The following is a 20,794-nucleotide window of genomic DNA, read 5'->3' on the forward strand; positions in this document are numbered from 1 at the left end:
GTTGCATGCATGTGGTTTCCAGAGTTTTCCAGCAATGAGGCACAGATACATACCCAGATTAGATAATATTTCAGCAGCTGATTAGATATTTTGTCTGGAGCTGCCCTGGACCCCAAGATATCCCAGGGGTCTAAAAATAGATTTTGGTGAAGGTTTTCCAAGGTGGCTATTACTACATTTTAAAAAATCAAAATTCAAGACTTGTGGTTTAACTATACTAATAGAGACAACATAGCTGAATATATGAAATTGGGCTGTCCTGAAAATCCAGAATGTTGGCATGGTTATTATATCTGTGGGGTAGAGTAACACCTCATCTATGGGTGCTAGTTTATCCTATCCCTAAGCGTGAACTTCTAGGGGATAATTCAGGCCAGGTGGGGCTGAGACCTCATTCCTATAATACTTCATTGCATGGAGTGCCCTGGAACTAAATTAGGTCATTTCTACGATTCTGCATCCTAAAGGCCAGGCAGGAACCACAAGTGGGACAAGATACAGGTCTATATTCTCTTTATCTACATGTTATATTCTCCTTCCCCAACTTAGGGGAAAGTACCTTTGAAATAGGAAGTATTTTAAAAGAAAACCCCAAGTATTTCCAACCTAAAGTGAAGACCAAGCTTGATTGGTCAGCATGGTAGGCACCTGCTGGAGACTCACCTTTGCCACTGAGCTGAGTTTGCCCTCTATTCCGTGTGTCCTCCCTGTCCCTGTTCTTGTAAGAAACTCACTCCAGGGCTTCGAGTCAACTCTCTTTGTCTTGGGCCTCTTCATGGGGATGGCTACCCATAATTTCATCTGGGAAATGAGCTAACCATGGCTGGGCTGGGAGGGACTCCATTCAGGGCCCTTCGCCCTTCCTTAGCTCCTGGAGCTCTTGATTGCCATCCTCCCTTCCCATGACTGCCCCTGACCTCTCAAGCTCTTGCAAACTTCTCATTGCTAGCTATCTTGGCTCTTTGGGATTTCCTCTACCTCCTTCCCAACATGTGTGCCCTCTTGGTTTCTTGGGCTACTCACTGGGGCCCCAGATTCACTGCTGCCCTGGACTGGCATTTCCAGGGATTTTGTGCATTTAAATTAGATGAATTGTAACCCCCATTTCAGCAACGGCAAGGACTCCAAACACAGGCTTCCCACCTGCTTCTTGGGCCCTTTTCCTCTTCCTCAGTTTCTTCTACCTCTTCAGGTTCCTCAGGACTCTCACTCTTCTGTTCTTCCTCCTCCTCCTTCAGGTCTTGAAGTTCTTTGGTCTTCTTTAGACCTTCTTGGAATCTGGGGGGCAAAAAGGAACAGTTGAGTCTGGAAAGGGCAGATGCAGTGCATCCTTTCCTGAGTTCCTAGGGGAGGGGACTTGAGCAGCACCTCCAATAATTATGTGCTTCCTATGGTTCCACAAAACAGGAAAAAGCTGGGAAGCTCCACTGAATCCTAAGGCAGCTCACGCCAGTACCATTTCCCCTCACTCCTCAGTCATCCTTCCTGTTTATGTGAAAGTGTGACAAAACTGACAGGGAAAAAATGTGGTGCAGGGTCTCCTGACTGGGTTCTTAACCCACAAAACATTCCGTAGGGCTAAGATTGTATTTGTTCTCCATGTGACCGTGGAGCTTCAGCCTCTCATCTGTAAAAGAGAGAGGGTGACACTCATTTCACAGGGCGTTGGAATGATTTTTGCAAGTGCCAGGCACATGGCTTGATCTAGAGAGGTACTCAGTAAATGTTTACGAAACCAATGAAGGAGTTCATGCCCATAAATTCCAAGGATAGAGCACAGTGGTGGGTGAGAAAGGCACGCTTTCAAAGAGAAACCCTTGTGGTTTTTCTCCCCCAGGGTCAATATTACCCCAAACATACTCTGTTCACTTGTCCTATGCTGAGTGTCTAACACTAGCAGTTTGGCTGGGCAAACCCACCACTGAAGCCCATGGGTTCTGTGCCAGTGGGAAGCTATGTCTTCCTCATGAGCTATGGAGACAGGAGACGCATAGGGCACCATACATGGTTGGAGGTGATTCTCTACCTTGAGGCTTGGTACCTGCTCAGGACTTGGTCTCTCCAGTGCTGACAACTGGCCATGGGTGCTATTGAAGCTCAAATGGAGGAGGAGGCAGTTCGAAGTTGAAGAGACTCCATTTATAGGAGGAAGGAGTGACCAAAGCAGTTCTAGGGAGCAGAGCTGCAGCTGCTCCTGGGCACTGCTGGCAGCAACATGACTGCTTTGAGCACGTGTCAGGAAGCCTCAGGCACCACCAAGAGGAACCCATCCAGGACCCCTGATTTCCAGACTATTCTGAGCGGTGGCATTCTGGTGGCTCTCTGCCTAAAAAGAGGGCAGTCTTGTTATTGTCTAACCACACCCTCTGACCCTGCTTCCTCCTGTCCTTCCTGTGGAACAGTCTTGCTCTTTCCTATGTAGTTCCTTCCTGTGGCAAGGAGGTCCTGCGGCCACTGGTTACTTCCCTAAAGCCTCTAAGAAACAAGAAAGACCCATGGGAAGGCATCTTCTGAGAACTGCCAGGTGCCCTTGGGGTGGCTGAGGTCTGACTCACCCCTTGCTGTAGGCTTCTTCCTCCATCCTGGCCTTGGTCTCCTGACTAAGCTCCTCCAGGCAGCTCAGGGTCAGCGCAGGAGCAGAGGCTTCACAATCTGGGTCCCCATTTGTCTTTCCACTAGTGAGAAGAGGGAAGTACAGGGCATCATTTCAGAAAAAGGTGGAGGCCTAAAAACAAAACCATGTTTTTGGCCCGATTCCTGATTAGGAGTGAGGAAACTCAGGCTTTTTCAGTAACTTTCAGATTTTTTCCCAATCCTTCTACCCTGAGACAAGATTTTATAAAGGTCCTAGTCCATGAATTTTCCCCAGCCCATTAAATACCTCACCAGCTCCCCTTCTCCTCATGCTCCCAAACTGGCGTTTATTCTTATTCCAGGAGATGCTGTAATGGGTGATCTACAGCGCTGAGATGAGGAAAATGGGGGCAGACCAGCACGTTTAAGGTCATTCCATTCCTGTTGTCTATCTTTCACCTGAAGACCCCCACTCATCTTTTCAAATATCCACTCAGCATGACTAAGCCACAGGCACATTGTAATGTGCTGGGGGCACATTAGAAAATAAAGAAATGGTTTTTACCAACATGGAACTTAGCAGAAGGAAAAGCCCCAAAAAAGGAAAGAAAAAATATGTGATTAATTACAAATAATAACTTTTATGAAAGAAATTCTGTACAGTGACAGAAAATAACAAGGAGAGAATGTGTTTAGAGTGAATAGTTAGAAAAGGCCTCTCTGAGGTGCTGAAGTTGAAGCACAGGCCTGAAGGATGAGAAGTCAGATGTATTAATAGCAGAGGAGAGGGTTGGGTGTGGTGGCTCATGCTTGTAATCCCAGCACTTTGGGAGGCCAAGGCGGGCGGATCACCTGAGATCAGGAGTTCGAGACCAGCCTGGCCAACATGGTGAAACCCCATCTCTACTAAAAATACAAAAATTAGCCAGGTGTGGTGGCACACACCTGTAATCCCAGGTACTCAGGAGGCTGAGGCAAGAGAATCGCTTGAGCCTGGAGGCAGAGGTTGCAGTGAGCTGAGATCGCACCACTGCACTCCAGCCTGGATGACAAAGCAAAACTCAGTAAAAAAGCAGAGGAGAGATCATTCCAGGAAGAGAATGCGGGTTATGTAAAGACTCTGAGACACAAAAGGTGCTGAGTTGTTTGAGAACTTAAAAAGAGGCAGTGTGGCAGGAGTTAACTTTTGGACAAGAGACATTTGCAATGCCTGTGAGGTATCCAAAGGGAGATGTCAAGTAGACAGTTGAATTCACCAAAGTGAGTCAGGGAAGTTTTAGCTGGAGATATTCATTTGGTGTCATCAGAACATAAATGTTATTTAAAGCCACGGGGATAGACAAGATTGCTTAGGGAGATAATATGAAGAAAGACAAGAGGAGGACCCAGGACCAAGTCATGAGGAACTCCACACTTGTCTCAGGTGGAAAAGAAGGCATCTTCAGAGAAGGCTGAGAAGTAGCAGCCAGAGAGGTAAGAGGAAACCTAGGAGCAGGTGGAGTCTTGGGAGCCAGGAGACAAGAGCTCATCAAGGCGGAAGAGTAAACAGTGCCACACACTTCTGAGTTTGAAGCGTGCAGACAAGGTGACTATTAGATTTGATAATACAGAGGTCAACAGGAGCCTCTGTGTAATGTTGGGAGCCAAGCACAGGTTTAAAGTAAAGAAGGGGAGGTTGGAAAGGGGAAGCCACAGACACAGCAATTCGAGTAGGAAGGAGAGTAGAGGGGTGTGTTGGAGGGAGTGTGCAGCTGAAGTAGGTCAAGGGAGGATGCACATTTGAATGTAGGTAGAAATGATCCAGTAGAGGATGAGAGAAAGGGATGCCCGAAGGAACTCAGTCTTTGCAAAAGGAAATAGGGACAGACCTTGGAAAACTAGAGAATCTCTCCTTGTTTGTAACAAAGGTAAGATGATGATGAAGTTGTTGGGCTGGAGATCTGGTGAAGGAAAGTGAGAGGGCTCCTATGGGAATGTAGCTTAGGTATTCTCTATAAAGTGGAAGGCAAGGTCATCTGCTGAGAGTGAGAGGTAGAGGGGTCTAGGAAGGTCTGTGGAGAGAGGAGGGGTGTAAAAGAGTTATATGAGAAAGAAGGAAAACAGACATACTAGAACATCTTGGTAAGATGGCTGGGAGGTGCTGGGAGATCATTGCAGGTATGGGATCACAAGTTTAAAGGAAGTATCCAGATGGCTATGCTTTCCCTAGAAATCCTGCAGCCCACCTTCATGTCCTGATTCCCAATGGGAGCAATGTCGTCATGGAGGAGTCCTCCAACAAGGCAACACTGTGAGCAGAGCTTTCCAGCCAGGACTCTGAAAGATCACAGCTGCCACCCTCCCTGAACTCTCAGACAGGGTTTATGAGTGAGCCTTGTATCTTCTCCTCATTCTTGGCATCAGTTTCCCATCTCTTAGTTTTCCTCAGACCTTTTAAAATTTACATTTAGTCAGGCTGGAAACCACAACCCATTGTGAACAAGAAAGATAACGCTCTAAAAATACCAGCTGTTCATAACATTTCTCCTTTTGCAAATTACATTATCCACTCCCTTCCATGTGACCTTGGCCTAATGTGCAGTTTCCTATTTATCCAAACGACTGGAGCAAGAGGAGAAAAACATAGCTACAGCCAAGGGCAGGGAAAGTAATTCTTTCATGAAATATATATATATATATATATATATATATATATATATATGAAATGAGATATTGGTATCAGACTTTTGATTTATATACAACTGTCAGCCTTAGAGGTTCCTTAATGTTAAGCATGCGTGAAGGAGGACAGTGTAGTATAAAGGAAAAGAACTCGCCTGAGGCAAACTTGGATTCAAATACCAGCTCCAAAACATGCAAATTATTTAATCTTCCTGAACTTCAGATTCCTCAACTGTACAATGGGGATAGTAATACATACCTGATGGTGGAGGTGTAAGAATTAATGAAGAAATGTCAATAAACTTTCTGGAATATGGCACTCAACAAATTATATCTGCTATTATTATTGTTATATAGTAAATGTATTGGTACATTTTGGGAGCAATCTGAGCTACCTCCAAATATGACTCATAAAAAATCCAGGCAATTATTTATATCATCAAGGGAGAGCTTGTTATATATTACTGAGACACTTCAGAGTCAGAGGAACCCTAAATGTGAACTAATTTAAGGTATGGTAAATTAACATTACATTTTCATAAAATGGCTTTAGGAACTTTCTCAGGTGCATGTCTATTGTGTGTCATCACACATTATGCACCTTAGAATTTTGCAGATAAGTGACTGTAAACAAAGCTCTCATTGTCCTTGGGTCACTGATCTCTAGAGAGGAAAACTTTTCCCTAGCAGGGCCAGGAAGCCCATTTCATCGACTCTTTTACATGCAGATCTTCTGTTCATTTCAGCTCCCCTATAGGGCTCTCATATACATTCTCTCACTTGATCTTTCCAATGATAAGAAGAGCTAAACATTAACTTATATGTATCAGGCTGTGGTCTAACATCTCATTTAAGGCTCACAAATGACCCAAGAAGGTATTAGTGTTCTCTGTTTGACAGATGAGGAAACCAAGGCTCAAAAAGTAGGCTGAGGCATGAGAATCGCATTTCAAGTGATTTCATATCTGTCAAACAGAGAACAGTAATACCTTCTTGGGTCATTTGTGAGCCTTAAATGAGATGTTAGAACAGAGCCTGATAAGTAAGTTAACTTTTAGCTCTTCTTATCATTGGAAAGATCAAGTGAGAGAATGTGTATGATCTCGGGACCAGCCCAAGATCATACAACCAGTGTGTGGTAGAGCTCAAATTTTACCCTGTGCAGTCTGATATGTGCCCATTCTTCTGACTGCACTATCTGCCACCTAGGTGGGGTATTATCCCATTTCACAGATAAGAAACCCAAGCTCAGGTTGATTAAGTGACTTGCCTAAATTCACGTTATTGGTGCTGGGACTCTCACCTTGGTCTTCTACCTGTGTGTCAAGATGGACTTTCCAGCCCTCCATGAACCCCCGCTTTTCTTTCAATAGAAGCCTTCCATGAACCCCCACCTTTCTTTCAATAGAAGCCCTCCATGAACCCCCACCTTTCTTTCAATAGAAGCCCTCCATGAATCCCCCTGCCTTTCTTTCAACAGAAGTCTCTTCCTTTCACTCTGCTGAGTGAAGCCCTTCCTGCCCTCAGGCTGGACCATGGCTTCCATGCTGCCCCTCTTTTCAAGGCTGCTTGTCTACAGTGTAAGTGGCTGGGAGGGCCTTTGTTTACTGTGTGTGTGTGTGGAGGGTGGGTAGGGGGGAGTGGAGGGGTTGTGGGTAGGGTGGCAAGTGGGGGAAACACAACATGTAAAATGTTTGCTGTTCTCTCCTGACCTCTAAACTGAGCTTGTAGTTTCCTAAATATCTTCTCTAACTATCTGGAAGTTTCTCTCTAAGCATCTTTAAGACTAAGCTCAAATGCCTTCTCCTCTGTGAAACCTTTGCTGGTGTTCTCCCCTCCCCCACACCCTCTGGTTAAAGTTGATCTCTCCTTTTTTTTTTTTTTTCCTTGAGACAGGGTCCCGCTCTGTCACTCAGGCTGGAGTGCAGTGGCATGATCTGGGCACACTGCAACCTCCACCTCCCAGGTTCAAGCGATTCTCCTGCCTCAGCCTCCCAAGTAGCTGAGATTACAGGCGTGCACCATCACGCCTGGCTAATATTTGCATTTTTAGTAGAAATGGGGTTTCACCATGTTGGCCAGGCTGGTCTCGAACTCCTGGCCTCAAGTGATCCACCTGCCTCGGCCTCCCAAAGTGCTGGGGTTACAGGCATGAGCCACCGCACCTGGCCCTCTCTCTCCCTTTATGCTGCCACCGCACCTCTGTGACAGCATGACTCACAGGGAGGCATTGATGTATGTTTTAGATACCTGCATATGACTGTCATCACAGGAAGAAGGACTGTGTTTGGGTCAGAATAGTGCCTGGCATACAGTAGGTGCCTTTAAGTGCCTGTCAAGTTGCATCGGTTTCACTATGACTTATCCAGTCCCTACTAGGAATGTTGTAAAAGGCACAAGTCCTCTCTGTAAATGGTTATTTCCTGAGAACCCAGTGTTTGGGTTGGACTAAACGAATCTGTAATCATGGCTATAAACTGGAGCTGAGCACAGCCTGTGCCCACCCTAGGGATTTCTGGCCCGAAGGCTCATGGATCTTGGCATCTGTCCCCTGCCTGAAATCCTATGTGCTTTCTTTCTGGGATGATTCATGAAAATGAGGCTCATTATTCTCACACGTGCACCAGGTCAAAAATGTTTGTCATTGTGCTCAGCTCTCAGTAATGTGAAGAACTATTTAGTCAAAATATATTTTTGGACAGGCAGGTATATTAGATTCAACTTTTCCCACATGGTAAACAATATTTGAAAGTGGCTACTATCCTTTGTGATCGGCATATCTTCTTGGGCTCAGCAATATTTCCAAGTCACCCCCACTGCCATGGTTCCCTCTGACAAGCCCAGCCCAGGGAACCCAAGCTTCCTTACTCCGTGTTACTCAGTTCTAGATACCTGGGGTCCGCCACAAGTTTATTGGGGTGGGTGGCGGGAGGGAGGAATTCACTCCAAGATACCATCAGCAAAGGGGAGTTGCTTACTGTACAAATTTAGTGTCCTGTGAAATCTTTAAGGAATTTACCCTGGGTGCTTCAAGAGTATAGAAACATGGTTATTTTTAGAGATTCAGAGTTAAAATTGCTCTGTGATACATTAACATAATAACCCCTTTTTGACACTAACCCTGTGCATCATCTACATCCTGGTTTTGCTGATCGCTCTGTGAACGGTTCCACACACACCCTGTCTCTCACCCCGACTCTGTTCTCCACTCCATGCCCAACCGGTCACCATGCTCTTTCAAAAATAGCTCTTAAATTCATCCTCTTCTCTATGGTCACACTGAACTTCGTTTTGTTCTTCCAGTTGGGCGGTCTATTAAAAGGGTAAGGGCATGTGCTCTGCTATCTACCAGCTGTGTAACCTCAGGCAAGTGACGATTTCTCTGAGCTTCAGTTTCCTCATCTATAAAACAGAGATATTAATAGTACACCTACCTCATGGAATTACTGTGAGGATTAACTGAGATTATTAATACAAAGCAATTAGCAAAGCACTTGGCATACAGCGAGGTGCAGCAAATAGTTAACAGTAATTACCATTGTCATCAGTGCAGTAGTTAACAGTAATTACCATTGTCATCAGTGCAGTAAATAGTTAACAGTAATTACCATTGTCATCAGTGCTGTAAATAGTCAACAGTAATTACCATTGTCATCGTTATCATTATCATCATTCCTTGAATACTCCATACTTTGTCACATGGACAAAGCCTGGAATGTTGTTAACCTCCTGTTCACCTAGTTGATTATGTACCCTTTAGATTTTTACTTTAAAAGTAAGTTCCTAGAGGGAAACTTTTTTTTTTTTGTTTTTTGAGACAGGGTCTGGTTCTGTCGCTCAGGCTCCAGGCTGCAGTGCAGTGGTGCAATCTCAGCTCACTGAAACTTCTCCCGGCTGGGGTCAAGCCATCCTCCCACCTCAGCCTCCTGAGTAGCTGGGACTACAGGTGGACGCCACCACGCCTGGCTAATTTTTATATTTTTTGTAGAGATGGGGCTTTCGTTATATTGCCCAGGCTGGTCTTCAACTCTTGAGCTCAAGTCATCCACTTGCCTTGGCCTCCCAAAGTGCTGGGGTTACAGGCGTGAGCCACTGCCCAGCCAAGGGGAATCATTTTCTAAGCTCTCTCTTCCCCCCACTTCCCCAGTTCCCCCAACCTTACACCAAAATCAGGTTAGGTGCTCATTTTCTGTGCATCATTCCCTTAGCAACCTACACTTCCTTACGATCCCACCCATCATGTTGTATTATAATAGGCTGCTTCCCATCTGTCTTTCCCGCTAGACTGCAAGCTCCTTGAGTACATTCTATGTGCCTGGCCCTTGGTGATTAATTGCTGAAGGAATGAAAGAACAAAAGACTACAATTACATAGCCATTTCTACTTGTGGAACTGCTCTTGAGCTTTGTTTTCTCTTCATCTTCAGGACTAACTTTAAATATCACTCTCCACCCATATGTTTAAGTCTACAGGTTTCTAGGCCCTTGGTGAGTGAAGAGCAGTTCATTACGAAATGACCTCCAAGAACAAGGCTCAGCATTCTCTGAAATCTCATGAAGCAGTGTAACCAGCTCTCAAGTATCTTCCTGTGAACTAGCCACAGGGTATTTGATCTTATCCTTTGCTTAGCCAGTGCCCTTCCTGCTTTGTCACTGTATGCTTAGGAAAGGTGAAATCATTTTAACACAAAGCTGAATACAACAGTCTCCAAAGCAATGTATATTAAACTATAACACATTATTTCTCTTTCACGATATGGATAGGGCAGTTAGAATTGACTGTATTTGTGTATAGGACAGAAGATACGAATTCACTTTTACTCATATATTGTCTCATTGTTAGTCTGTTGGGAATCAAGTAAATTTTCCACTTTATATTTATTTATTTATTTATTTGTATTTTTAGTAGAGACAGGGTTTCACCATCTTGGCCAGGCGGTCTTGAACTCCTGACCTCATGAACCACCCGCCTCAGCCTCCCAAACTGCTGGGATCACAGGTGTGAGCCACCGTGCCTGGCCATGTTTCCAGTTTTAAATGGAAATCACTTAACATCTTTGAGAAATCCAGAAGGGGAAGCTGTTGTTCATCCTGAACCCCTCTTCCTCTAAAGATGCCCTCACCTCTTTGCAACCATTCTTACATGGGTATATTCCCAACTGGCGAGTCAGCCCCAGTGTGCTTGACTTGCCTTAATCCCCACTCTGTCCATATCTCTCCAGGTTCTATAAAGCACTGGAAAGGTGATGCCACTATTGATCGTCACCCATTGACACTCCTAATTTGGGGCTGCTGCTTATTGTCTCCAATTTTGTACCTCAGTTTCCCTTACCAAGGATAATTCATGTTTTCATGATCCCCACTGCCTTGGACAGAAGTGCTCAACTGGCCTGGCATAAGTTCTACAGAGTTCAGGCCCTCTCTGTCATGATTAAGAGTCTGTTGAAGAGATCTTCTGCCTTGAGTGGCTCTGCAGGCCTAGAGTTGGGAAAGGGGCTAGAGTTGAGGGTTCTCTGAAGTAGGGATCTGTGCACCCAAAGGGAAGGTTGGCAGGGAGAATTTTAGTGGGTTTCTCAGTCAGAGCATGAGGTGACCATTTCTGGAGAGATTCAGAGACCCTGGATGAGGTACTATGACTCTAGGGACTTGGTAAGTTTCTGTAAACTCGGTTACTTCCATGTGGTGGTGGTTGTGTTGCCTCTTGACAATTTCCCTGTAGTGATCAAGAAAAGACAGAGAGAGAGACCCCAAGAGACCCTCTATAACACGAAGGACCTGTGAGCTTATGGGGGTGAGGTGGCAAAGAGACGAAATGCTGGGCAAACTTCAAGACTAACAAATCACTGGGTGATAAGCTGGTGGCTATACAGAATGACAGATGTAGGAGGCAGGCTGAGTCTGGAGATGGGAGCTTGTCTGTACTGAAAAGGGTCCCAACATACAGGTTCCCTGCCAGATAGCAAAACTTTTCTAACAGCAAAGAAAAACAAAGGACTAAAGCTGTCTTGAGGCAAGGAAGAAGGAAGAATAAGGTATATGTTTTACCAAGTGAGAAAAGACACAAGGGGAAAATTCTGAGAGGCAGCAGGTGTGATCCAGATGTTTTTCAGCAAGCAAATGAAAGAATTTGAAAAGTAAGCTATAAAATCCTCTGAGTGCATAGAAACAGCCTGCCTTACTCTGGCTGAGGATGAAAAGATCTGCAAATTGCATAGATGCCTAGAAAATCACAGAAACTGCTGGCTGCTAATCCAATATGCATTTTCCTTCCTACTTCCTAACAGCAACATGATTCTGTTCAGGAATTTACTCTTCTTCATGGAGTCATTTTGCTTTATGGGAAGCTGACCCTCTCACCAACCCCAGGGAATAGTTTAATCCCATAATGACAATCCCTTTCCCAAAGTGATTCTTTTAGAAAGGGACTTCCTTCCAGATTTGTCAATGAGATAATAGAGAAGACTGGTGAAAGGCTTCTGGGTTTATTCCTAAGAAAGGAACATGGCAAGAAACAGTCCCTTTCTTCCTCTAGGTATTGTCCTGTCTGGAGGGGATCCCAGGAACTACCAGCCATTTGCCACAATCCTGATGATGAAGTTAACATACAATGTGGCCAGAGGCAAGGAAGTTGTAGACTCGCTGAGCTAGAGCCCTGCTGTGCCATACCAGGAGCAGCTCTACCTCTGGACTTAATTAAGTCCCATTGAGTTGGGGCTTTATTTTGTCTGTAGCCCAAGGAATCCCAATTGGCAGAGAAGGCTCCAGCCTTCTCTGGGCTCTCTAAGATTGGGTACACTTGGCCTCACTCAGGGCATCTTCCTGGTTCAAGAATTTTGCAAACAGGTTCTGAAATCTTTGTGGGTTTCAGACTCCCATTCATTTCCCTTAAAACTTAATTTGCTTTCCACTGCATTTTGGGGATAAAAATGGGAGGAAGGAAAGTAAAATGGGGAAAATTTCCTGAGAGATCCCTGAAGCCAAGAGGAAAATCGACAAACTTACTTTTCCAAAAGTGCAGGCAGTGCTGAAGTGACAGGTAGGCTGCCTTTCCCATTGGGTGATTCCGACTGAGTGAAAAACAGAAGACAGAGAATTGAGGATGCGCTATGGAAGGAAGAAGCCAGAGCTGCTGGATTTCTGATGATGCTGGGAGCGGGGCTGCTGCTTCTCCTCTTTCCTCCATGCCCCCACTTTCCAATCTTCATCTGAGCCCAGGACTTGGCCCTTTCCCTCAGGCCTTCCCTGTCCTCCTTTCCTCTAGGGCACATGCAGCTTCCTCCTTTTCCTTCACCTCTGCTAAGTTTCCTTAAGTGAAGAGGAAAGTTTACATCTTGAGGCTCCATTCTGGAGAGGAGCCATCAGTTTTTCTCTGTCCCGTTTAGCAACTGTGACTGAACACCAGTGGGCCTCCTACAAATGCAGGTCTCAGGCTCCTTACAATAGATTCACACAAGCCCATCACTGTCCCTAGAGACATAGCTCCAGGTACAATTCTCAGGAGATGCAAATCACTACTGAAAGCTCAAACCATCAGAAATTTCTTTACAATACGTTCCCCAGGATTTCCAGGTTGTGTTGTTGCAATGGATTTGGTTTAAGTAATGGTTCTCAATGTTGGCTGCACATTAGAATCACCTGGGGGAGGTTTTAAAAAAGTATCGATCCACTCCAGAATCTTGGTGTGGGGCCTGGGGGAATAATGGTTTAAAAGTACCCTGTGTGGTTTTTAATCTATGGCCCTGATTGCCAACCCCTAGTCTAAAGGAATATATATTTGGAAAATAAATTTATGCTTTTAGGCAAAGTATGGGAAATAGATCTGTTAAAATACACTAACCAGTCCTCTCCAACATTCTTAAACATTTTTTTCAGGTTGTTTTATTTTAGTGGGTAATTTGGGAATTTAGGTTGATTTCATAGACGACTGAAATGCTTGAGGCAGGAAGCAGTGAATACCACTCATTGGTATTACATAGAGCTTGAATTTCCAGTTGCTTACACAATCAGATTGTTTCCTTATAGGGTAGTGCTAGTCATAGGCAGGGGATAGAGAAACCACTGAAGAAAGAATTAGAGAGAATTAGCCAGATGCACAAAGGCCTGGGATACAGAAAATATTTTGTTATATCCAAACGTCTTTGTCTAAAAGAAATGGAAATGTATTTTTCCTGATTATTACCAATACATTCTTATTATAGAAATATAAAAAGGCATCAGGAAGAAAATAAAAATGAACTATTTTACCATTGCCTAGAGATAACCATTATTAGCTGTTTCACATATCTTCTACCAGAAATTTCTATGTCTACACACAGAAACACACTCTTTTAAAAAGTACAAAACAGAATTATACTGTTTATACACTAGGTTTTGTATATTCTATTTTACTTGCTTTTGATTCATAATAAATTATGGATAATTCTACAGAAACCCCTTATAGGAATATCCATTTGCTTAACCAATCTCTTATTAGTGAACATGGAGTTGTTTCCCACTTTTCATTATTATGAACAATGCTACAATGAACTGAGGCAGGAGAACAATGGGTTGAAGAACTCAGGCTGTGGAATCAGAGAACCTAGGGTTCAAAGCTGTTCTACCACCTATCACACATTACAAACTTCAGCTACTTAAGCCCACTGCAGAGTAGAAAAAAATTGTAACCACCTTGGCAGATTGTGGTGTAAGCACAAAAAGAGTTATCATTTGCAAAGAACGCTGAGCTGCCAACACCATGCTGAGGGCAGTGGGACTTCCCAGAGTAGTAGAATACATGCAGCCTGGTGTATATTGAGTTTTTGAGCCTATCACTCAGATTCTATTCTGGAAATTTCCTCTCCTTGTTGACCCTGCCCCCATTTGGTCACCCTCCCTGCCCTAGGACTGAGTACGAAGGAAAGGTTATTCTACTATTCTGTGCTGGGAGGCAGACATCGTCATACTTACCAAGGCTGGTAAGGAGGGAATGGATGATGAGCTGGGAGTTTGGCCAGGCAGATTCAGGGCATTAAACTTAGGAACCACAGCAACGCTGACCCTCCGGCGAGGCATATTCTGCAGGAAGAGAAGTGACCAGGCTCACTGTCTTGGAGGTAGCAATAGCCATAGTTCAGAAGGGCTGGGAAAAAGCCTCCTCATTTCTAATGCTGTAATGGCATTCACTGGATATTTTGGTTTTGCAGTAGCAATGATAGAATTGGTGTGGAGAGAGTGGCCAAAGTTGACCCAAATTTTCTGTTGTTGGTGAGTGAACGCTCAATCTGTTCTATTTTAGCTTATGAGATCTTGGAGATACAGAATGGAAATGACCCCACAGTCTCTGGGTAACACCCTGGAGACTGTATTCAAGCTGCCTGTAGCAATATGAAGGCTTATGATCACTTCATGTTCATTTAAGGGATGTATACATAGTTAAGGAAACCATGAGCAAGAAAGGTAAGATGTCAGAGGCTAAACTTGAGAGTGTGGAAAGCCGAATAGAAACTCTGTTCAGAGATTCTCTGGCATCCATGGATCCCAGAATGAATGATTGTTTGGGTGACCATGGAAACTTCTGTCATACTCCTTCCAGGAGCCCTGGTATTCCTTGAACATGCATACCTTTCCCAGCGTGAGGGACATGGACCGTGCCGTGCGAGGGACCCCATCTTCTGCAGCAGGAGGGAGCAGAGAAGAGAACACAGGTAAGTTTCAGGCTAGGCACCAGCAGGAAACAGAAACTAGGCTATCGTATCCATGGGCCAGAACTGGCCCTCAAGGGATAGCCCAAGGGTCTGGGTGTTGGGGACACTGAGTTTGGCACTTCATCCTTTGAGATGGGGCTGCAGAGTGGGGGCTTTTTTTGGACAAAACCTTTATCCTAACTCCCCTTCTCACTATAGGAAGCCCCAGTCTTGGACCTCTGATCTTTATCTGACCCCACTAAACACGCTCTGCATAACACCCTAGATAGTGTATGAAAACTACTCAGCAACACGAAGACTTATTGGGTTATTTCATGCTCGTTCAAGGATGTACAGTCAGAGAAACTATGAGCAAGGAAGGTGTGGTGCCAGTAAATAATGAAAACTTGCTAACAGAAGTAGTTTCAATATGTTACCTACCAAATGACTCAGAGCAAAGGAAGCTACCACCCCAGGATTTTCTTCTCCTTACTACATACATTAAGTGATATAACTCACGTAATATGTTTAGCTTCATACCTGGATAATCCTACCACCAGGAAACACCTGAGTATGTGCAGAGAAAGGTATTTGCTAGTTCAATTCAATTTGATTCAGTTTAACCAATATCATTTAGCCTGCATATCTCTCTCTTTCATATCCATATATTTTTGGTGAGTCTCTTGAAAAGCACATAGCCGTATGTGTTTTTTCAAAAAAAAATTTTTTTTTCTTTTGAGACAGTCTCACTCTGTCACGTAGGCTGGAGTGCAGTGGCACGATCTTGGTTCACTGCAACCTCCGGCTCCTGGGTTCATGTGATTCTCGTGCCTCAGCCTCCCAAGTAGCTGGGATTACAGATGTGTGCCACCACACCTGGTTAATTTTTTTATTTTTAGTAGAAACAGGGTTTCGCCATGTTGGCCAGGCTGGTCTCCAACTCCTGAGCTTAAAGTATCTACCCGCCTCGGCCGCCCAAGGTGCTAGAATTACAGGCATGAACCACCACACCTGGCCTGTTTTTTTCATAATCTAATCTGAGATTCTCTATTAACCAATAGATTTATACTAGTTATAGTTCTTGTGATTAATATATTTGTATTTATTTCTACCATGTAATTTTATATTTTCTATTTATTTTGTTTTATTCATTGACTTTTTCTACCCCTCCTCCCACCTGACACTTTTGTTTGGAAATTATACATTCTATTTTTAACCTTTAGCATGTCCTCTTAACTTTTGAACATACTGACTTTAAATTTAAAATTAAACAAGCTCTCTATTCTTTTCTTGAATAAATCTTAAAATAATAACCCTCCCTCTTAATTATATTGCTTTCCAGGATTTTTATTTCACCTTGTGTTTGTATTCTTAAATTATTCATTATGTTTGTTGATTTCTACAGAGAGTGCTTATTTAGATTTACCCACGTTTACAAATGTCTTTGTTGACTATTCTTTCTTGTATCCTACTTGTTTCTTTTGAGCTCAATTTTTTTTAACTTTTATTTTAGGTTCAGGGTACATGTGCAGGTGCATTACATAAACTTGTCATGAAGATTTGTTGTACAGATTATTTCGTCACCCAGGTATTAAGCCTAGTAGACAGCATTGATTTTTTCTGCTCCTCTCCCTCCTCCTACTTTCCACCCTCAAGTAGGCCTTGGTACCTGTTGTTCCCTTGTTTATGGCCATATGTACTCAATGTCTAGCTCCCACTTCTTAGTGAGAACATGCAGTATTTGGTTTTCTCTTCCTGTGTTAGTTTGCTAAGGATAAGGACCTCCAGCCCCACGCATGTTCCTGCAAAAGAGGTGATCTCATTCTTTTTTATGGCTGCATAGTATTCCATGGTGTATATGTACCACATTTTTCTTTATCCAATATGTCATTGATGAGCATTTAGGTTGATTCCATGTCTTTGCTATTGTGAAAAGTGCTGCAATGAACATTTGTGAGCATGTGTTTGAGTTCAATTTCAATCTTCCTTAGGTACATCCTCTAGTTGTTCTTTCAGCGAGGGTCTATGAGAGGTAAACTTTCTCAATTGTCTCCAAATAGTCTTTACCAAGCCCTCAATCTTGCATGGTATCTTAGCCATCTGTGTTATCTCTAGATTGACAGTTATTTTCTCTTAGTTCTTTTAAGAAATTATTCCATTGGCTTCTTCTATTATTGCCATTGAGAATTGTCATTCCTTTGTAAGTAATCTTCTCTTTGATGACTTTTAAGATCTTCCCTTTGTCTTTACTGTTCTGCAGTTTCTCTTTGGTGTGTTTTTATTTTTCCTGCTTGGAATTCACGTATTTTCTGAATCCAATGATTGATGACTTTCCTTAGTTCTAGAAAATCCTTAGCCATTCTTTCTTGGCATATTTTCTCTCCTTGGTTTTCCCCTTAAGGATGGCCTAATAAATGTATTTGGGACTTTCTCATTCTGCATTCTATATCCCATATCTCAATGCTTCTTTCATAATTTTAATCAATTTATTTCTCTGAACTATACATTGGGTAACTTCCTCAAACCTATCTTCAAGTTAACTAATTTTTCTTCAACTGTGCCCAATTTGATTTAAATGTTATAATCAATCAGGATAAGCTAGGTTATACTAGTTTAATAGCATAGTAATAATAAGCAACTCCAAAGTATTAGTGGCTGATAACAAGGAAGATGTGATTTGCTTATGCTACATGCTCATTTACTTCCAAGTCTGCAGCAAGCTTGGTTCTCTGTTTCCTCACTCTGGACTCAGCCTAATACTGGCCTTCTACTATTCTGGAGCAATGATGGTTATCATGTTAGGAGGAAGAAACAGGGCAAACTGCATTCTAGTTCTTAGAGGCCTAGGTTCAGATGTGACATGTCCTTCTACTCATATTTCATTCACCAAAGCAAATCCCATGGCCTTGCCTTGTGACTTCAAGGGGATGGGTAAATGTGCCCAGAAGAAGGAGATCTGGAATAATGAAGAATAGCCTCAAATATAGTAACTACCACATCTAAACTCTTGAGTTTTTGATTTCTGTGACTTTATTCCTCATTTTGAGGAGTTCTATTTTATTCTTCTTTGATAACTGTATTCTTTTACTCTGTTTTTGATCCATTATTTTATGTCTCCAATAATTTTTGTTTAAGTTAGAGACGGTCTCACTCTGTCATCCAGAATGAAGTGCAGTGGCATGATCACAGCTCACTGAAGCCTTGACTTCCTGGGCTCAAGCGATCCTCCCACCTTAGCCTCCTGATAAGCTAGAACTACAGGTGCCCACCACCACATCTGACTAATTGCTTTTTATTTTTATTTTTTGTGGAGATAGGGTCTCACTTTGTTGCCCAGGCTGGTCTCACTTTGTTGCCCAGGCTGGTCTCAACCTCCTGGCCTCAAGCGATCCTTTCACCTTGGCCTCCCAAAGTGTTAGGATTACAGACGTGAGCCACTGTACCCAGCTACCTGTAACAATTTTAAGCTTATCTTAAAAAAATTGTCAGATCATTTTATTTTCCGAGGTTCTTAGGATATAATCCTATTGTTTTGTGTAACTGATGACTTTTGTTCATGATGAATTGTTTTCTTGTGTATTTTATAATTTTAAGTTGTGAAGTCATCTTCAGTGAGGCTTTATTAGAGGAATCCTGTGTGTCCAGATGCAGGGTCTGTCTCTCCAGAGTACTTTTCTGCTTATTTCTAACATATCTTAGAAGCACCATCTTGCTGTTCTTTTCAAATCCTCTGCATATTGCATCATCACTGCTGTCACTTTGTGAGCACGTACTTTCCCTATGAGGAAGGAGAAAGTGTTTTTTCCTACTACAGTCCAGGGTGAAACAAATTTCCTTGTTTCTCTGCTGGTTGGTGATTATTATTTTTCCTTATCCAAATTCCATCTGAGGATATAGTCCTTGGACGCCCTTAACTTTCTGTGGGAATCTGTGTCAACTCTCTACCATAGGTGTTCCAGGCCTTGTCTCAGACCACAGGCAAGTGCAAAAGCTCAGCTCCCAGATAACCAAGGCTGACACTTGTCCCTAAGGAAGCTGCAGGGTCAGCTTGGTTTCAGTTCTCTTTTCTTTTCTTGTATCTGGGTATTTCAATTTATTTTCTTGTGGATTCAGCTATTTAGACAAAGGTTTGCTTTATTTTGTCCAGCAGCAATTTCTAAGTGCTTGTGGTCAAAAGATTTTCAAGTTTTCCAGTCAGCCAAAATAGCAGAACCAGAAAATATTCTTTACATGTGAAGAGTTCATATAAATTAGTAAACTACCAAGCTTACAAGTGGCAAAGGTCATAAATACAGAATTTTTAAAAGCAGAAATACAAATGTTCCATAAACATTTGGAAAGGCCAAGAAATACAATTAAAACAATAAGACAAGACACAATTGTGGCCTATCAAAGTCATGGATATTTACAAAAAGAAAGAACAAGAATTGTGTCAATGGCACGGTGAATTGAGTATTGTAACCCATTCAGTGAAAACATAAATGGGTTATTTGAAAATAATTTGCTTTAAGAGCCTTAAAAAATTTATTTCCCCTGAGCTAGTATTCATACTTCTAGAAATCTACACTAAGGAAATAATCTAAAATGCAGATAATTGGTAAATTTCATATTCAGAAAGAAACATGTTATTTTTAAAAAATGTATATCACCTTCCTTGAAATCAGGGATATTTTATTTACTGCAGTCTTCAAAACCCCAGGCATAGACAAAGATTGCAGAGGTTGTATAAAGGCTTAAGACACAAACACTATTAGGGAACAGTCATAGAGTATCTTATGGAAACACCTGCTGAGTGGTTACGGCCACTCTGCCTAGCCCAAGCTGAGGTATAGCTTGGAAGAACAACTGGAGTGGAAACAAATATCAGAAAAACACGTACAGCTATCGTTGACCTTTCCTACGGTAAGCGTTTTCTCATCCTCCTAGAGTGAATGTGGGACTCTGTGGTGTATTCTCCTCGGAAGTCTGCTTTCTTCTGTCATAGCACTGGCTACACTGCCTTGACTTCCCAAAGGTTGGGAGCTCCTTTGGGTCTGTGACTGTGTGCCCTTTACCTCTATATTCCAGTATTATATAGGGCAAACCAAAGGTACTCAATAAATGTCTGTAGAATGAACGAATGAGACTCATGGGTAACTGCTCATCCTATAAATCTTAGGTAAGGTGGTTTGCAGGAGGCCTTGTGCAGCAATAAATGCAGGAGTCCACGCATTAGGATTCCTTTGGCGGCAACTTCCTCAGCTTCCAACACTGACGGAAAATGGTTAGAGGCCTAGGTGCATGTGGGTCAGGAGCCTTGCTGACAGATCCAAAGCTGACAGTCTGGAGCATGTGTGCATGCTGCCTTTGGACTCTGGGACATGTCACTGATATTCTCCAGGAAACTTGTGAAACCTCCTGTTTATAAAGGTTTCTCCATCTGTTATACTTTCTGTACTTTCCCTTCTGCAGCTCTTGGTAACACGGATGTTTGCATTCCACAGGGATTCCTGTTGCTAAAAGGTCTGTTTTCTCCTGCTAGCCACCCTCATCAGCCAGAGTTCAAACCCTGACAGTGCCCATGGAGAGATCTGGTCCAAGGCACCAACCTCTTCCTGCTGGACTGAGAAAGAGCCTCCTACTGTGTCTCTCTTTACCTCAGCTTTTGCACACCTCCAATATATTGTCCACTGAAGTCAGAATAATCTAAAAATAAAGGCTGATTACCTCATGTGGTATAAACTTACCAATGACTCCCCGTTGCCTAGAGGCTCAAATTGCTAGCATGGCCTGGCGTGTGGCCCTGGTCAACCAAGTCTCACTTCCACACCCTGACACTGCCACTATGACAAACTGTTTGTTTCATCTTGTTTTCACCCCCAACCTCCACACCTTTGTCCATGCTGGTTTCTCCACTTG

The 20,794-nt window shown here is 43.0% G+C and overlaps 1 protein-coding gene and 1 long non-coding RNA gene across 10 annotated transcripts in view, besides 1 other annotated feature; one reads left to right on the top strand and one right to left on the bottom strand.

Annotated features, from left to right (window-relative positions):
- IRAG1-AS1 (IRAG1 antisense RNA 1) overlaps positions 1-20,621 on the top strand; it is a 58,697-nt gene extending 38,076 nt beyond the window's left edge. Inside the window, exons 2-5 of one of the 4 annotated variants that reach the window (NR_046374.1) lie at positions 6,716-6,815; positions 9,701-9,839; positions 14,806-14,917; positions 20,380-20,621. This is a non-coding gene — a long non-coding RNA (IRAG1 antisense RNA 1). The remainder of the gene's footprint in view (positions 1-6,715; positions 6,816-9,700; positions 9,840-14,805; positions 14,918-20,379) is intronic. The other 3 variants (NR_046375.1, NR_034093.2, NR_034094.2) reach the window with 3 other exon arrangements.
- IRAG1 (inositol 1,4,5-triphosphate receptor associated 1) overlaps positions 1-20,794 on the bottom strand; it is a 120,661-nt gene that overhangs the window by 6,217 nt on the left and 93,650 nt on the right. For all 6 annotated transcript variants that reach the window (NM_001206881.2, NM_001206880.2, NM_130385.4 and 3 more), the window contains 5 exons: positions 14,835-14,884; positions 14,181-14,288; positions 12,237-12,301; positions 2,556-2,675; positions 1,144-1,278 (listed from right to left, as the gene is read on the bottom strand). In NM_001206881.2, the coding sequence (NP_001193810.1) occupies positions 1,144-1,278; positions 2,556-2,675; positions 12,237-12,301; positions 14,181-14,288; positions 14,835-14,884 (478 nt within the window). The remainder of the gene's footprint in view (positions 1-1,143; positions 1,279-2,555; positions 2,676-12,236; positions 12,302-14,180; positions 14,289-14,834; positions 14,885-20,794) is intronic.
- Positions 14,288-15,487: an enhancer, noted in NCBI's record as "MED14-independent group 3 enhancer chr11:10615146-10616345 (GRCh37/hg19 assembly coordinates)". NCBI's record gives its function as "activates an origin of replication core promoter dependent on BRD2, BRD4, P300/CBP and CDK7 cofactors, and independent of MED14, by STARR-seq in HCT116 cells {active_cell/tissue: HCT116}" and the evidence as "EXISTENCE:reporter gene assay evidence [ECO:0000049][PMID:35650434]".

This window comes from Homo sapiens, chromosome 11 (genome assembly GCF_000001405.40).
Source record: "Homo sapiens chromosome 11, GRCh38.p14 Primary Assembly".
Taxonomy (NCBI): Eukaryota; Metazoa; Chordata; class Mammalia; order Primates; family Hominidae; genus Homo; species Homo sapiens.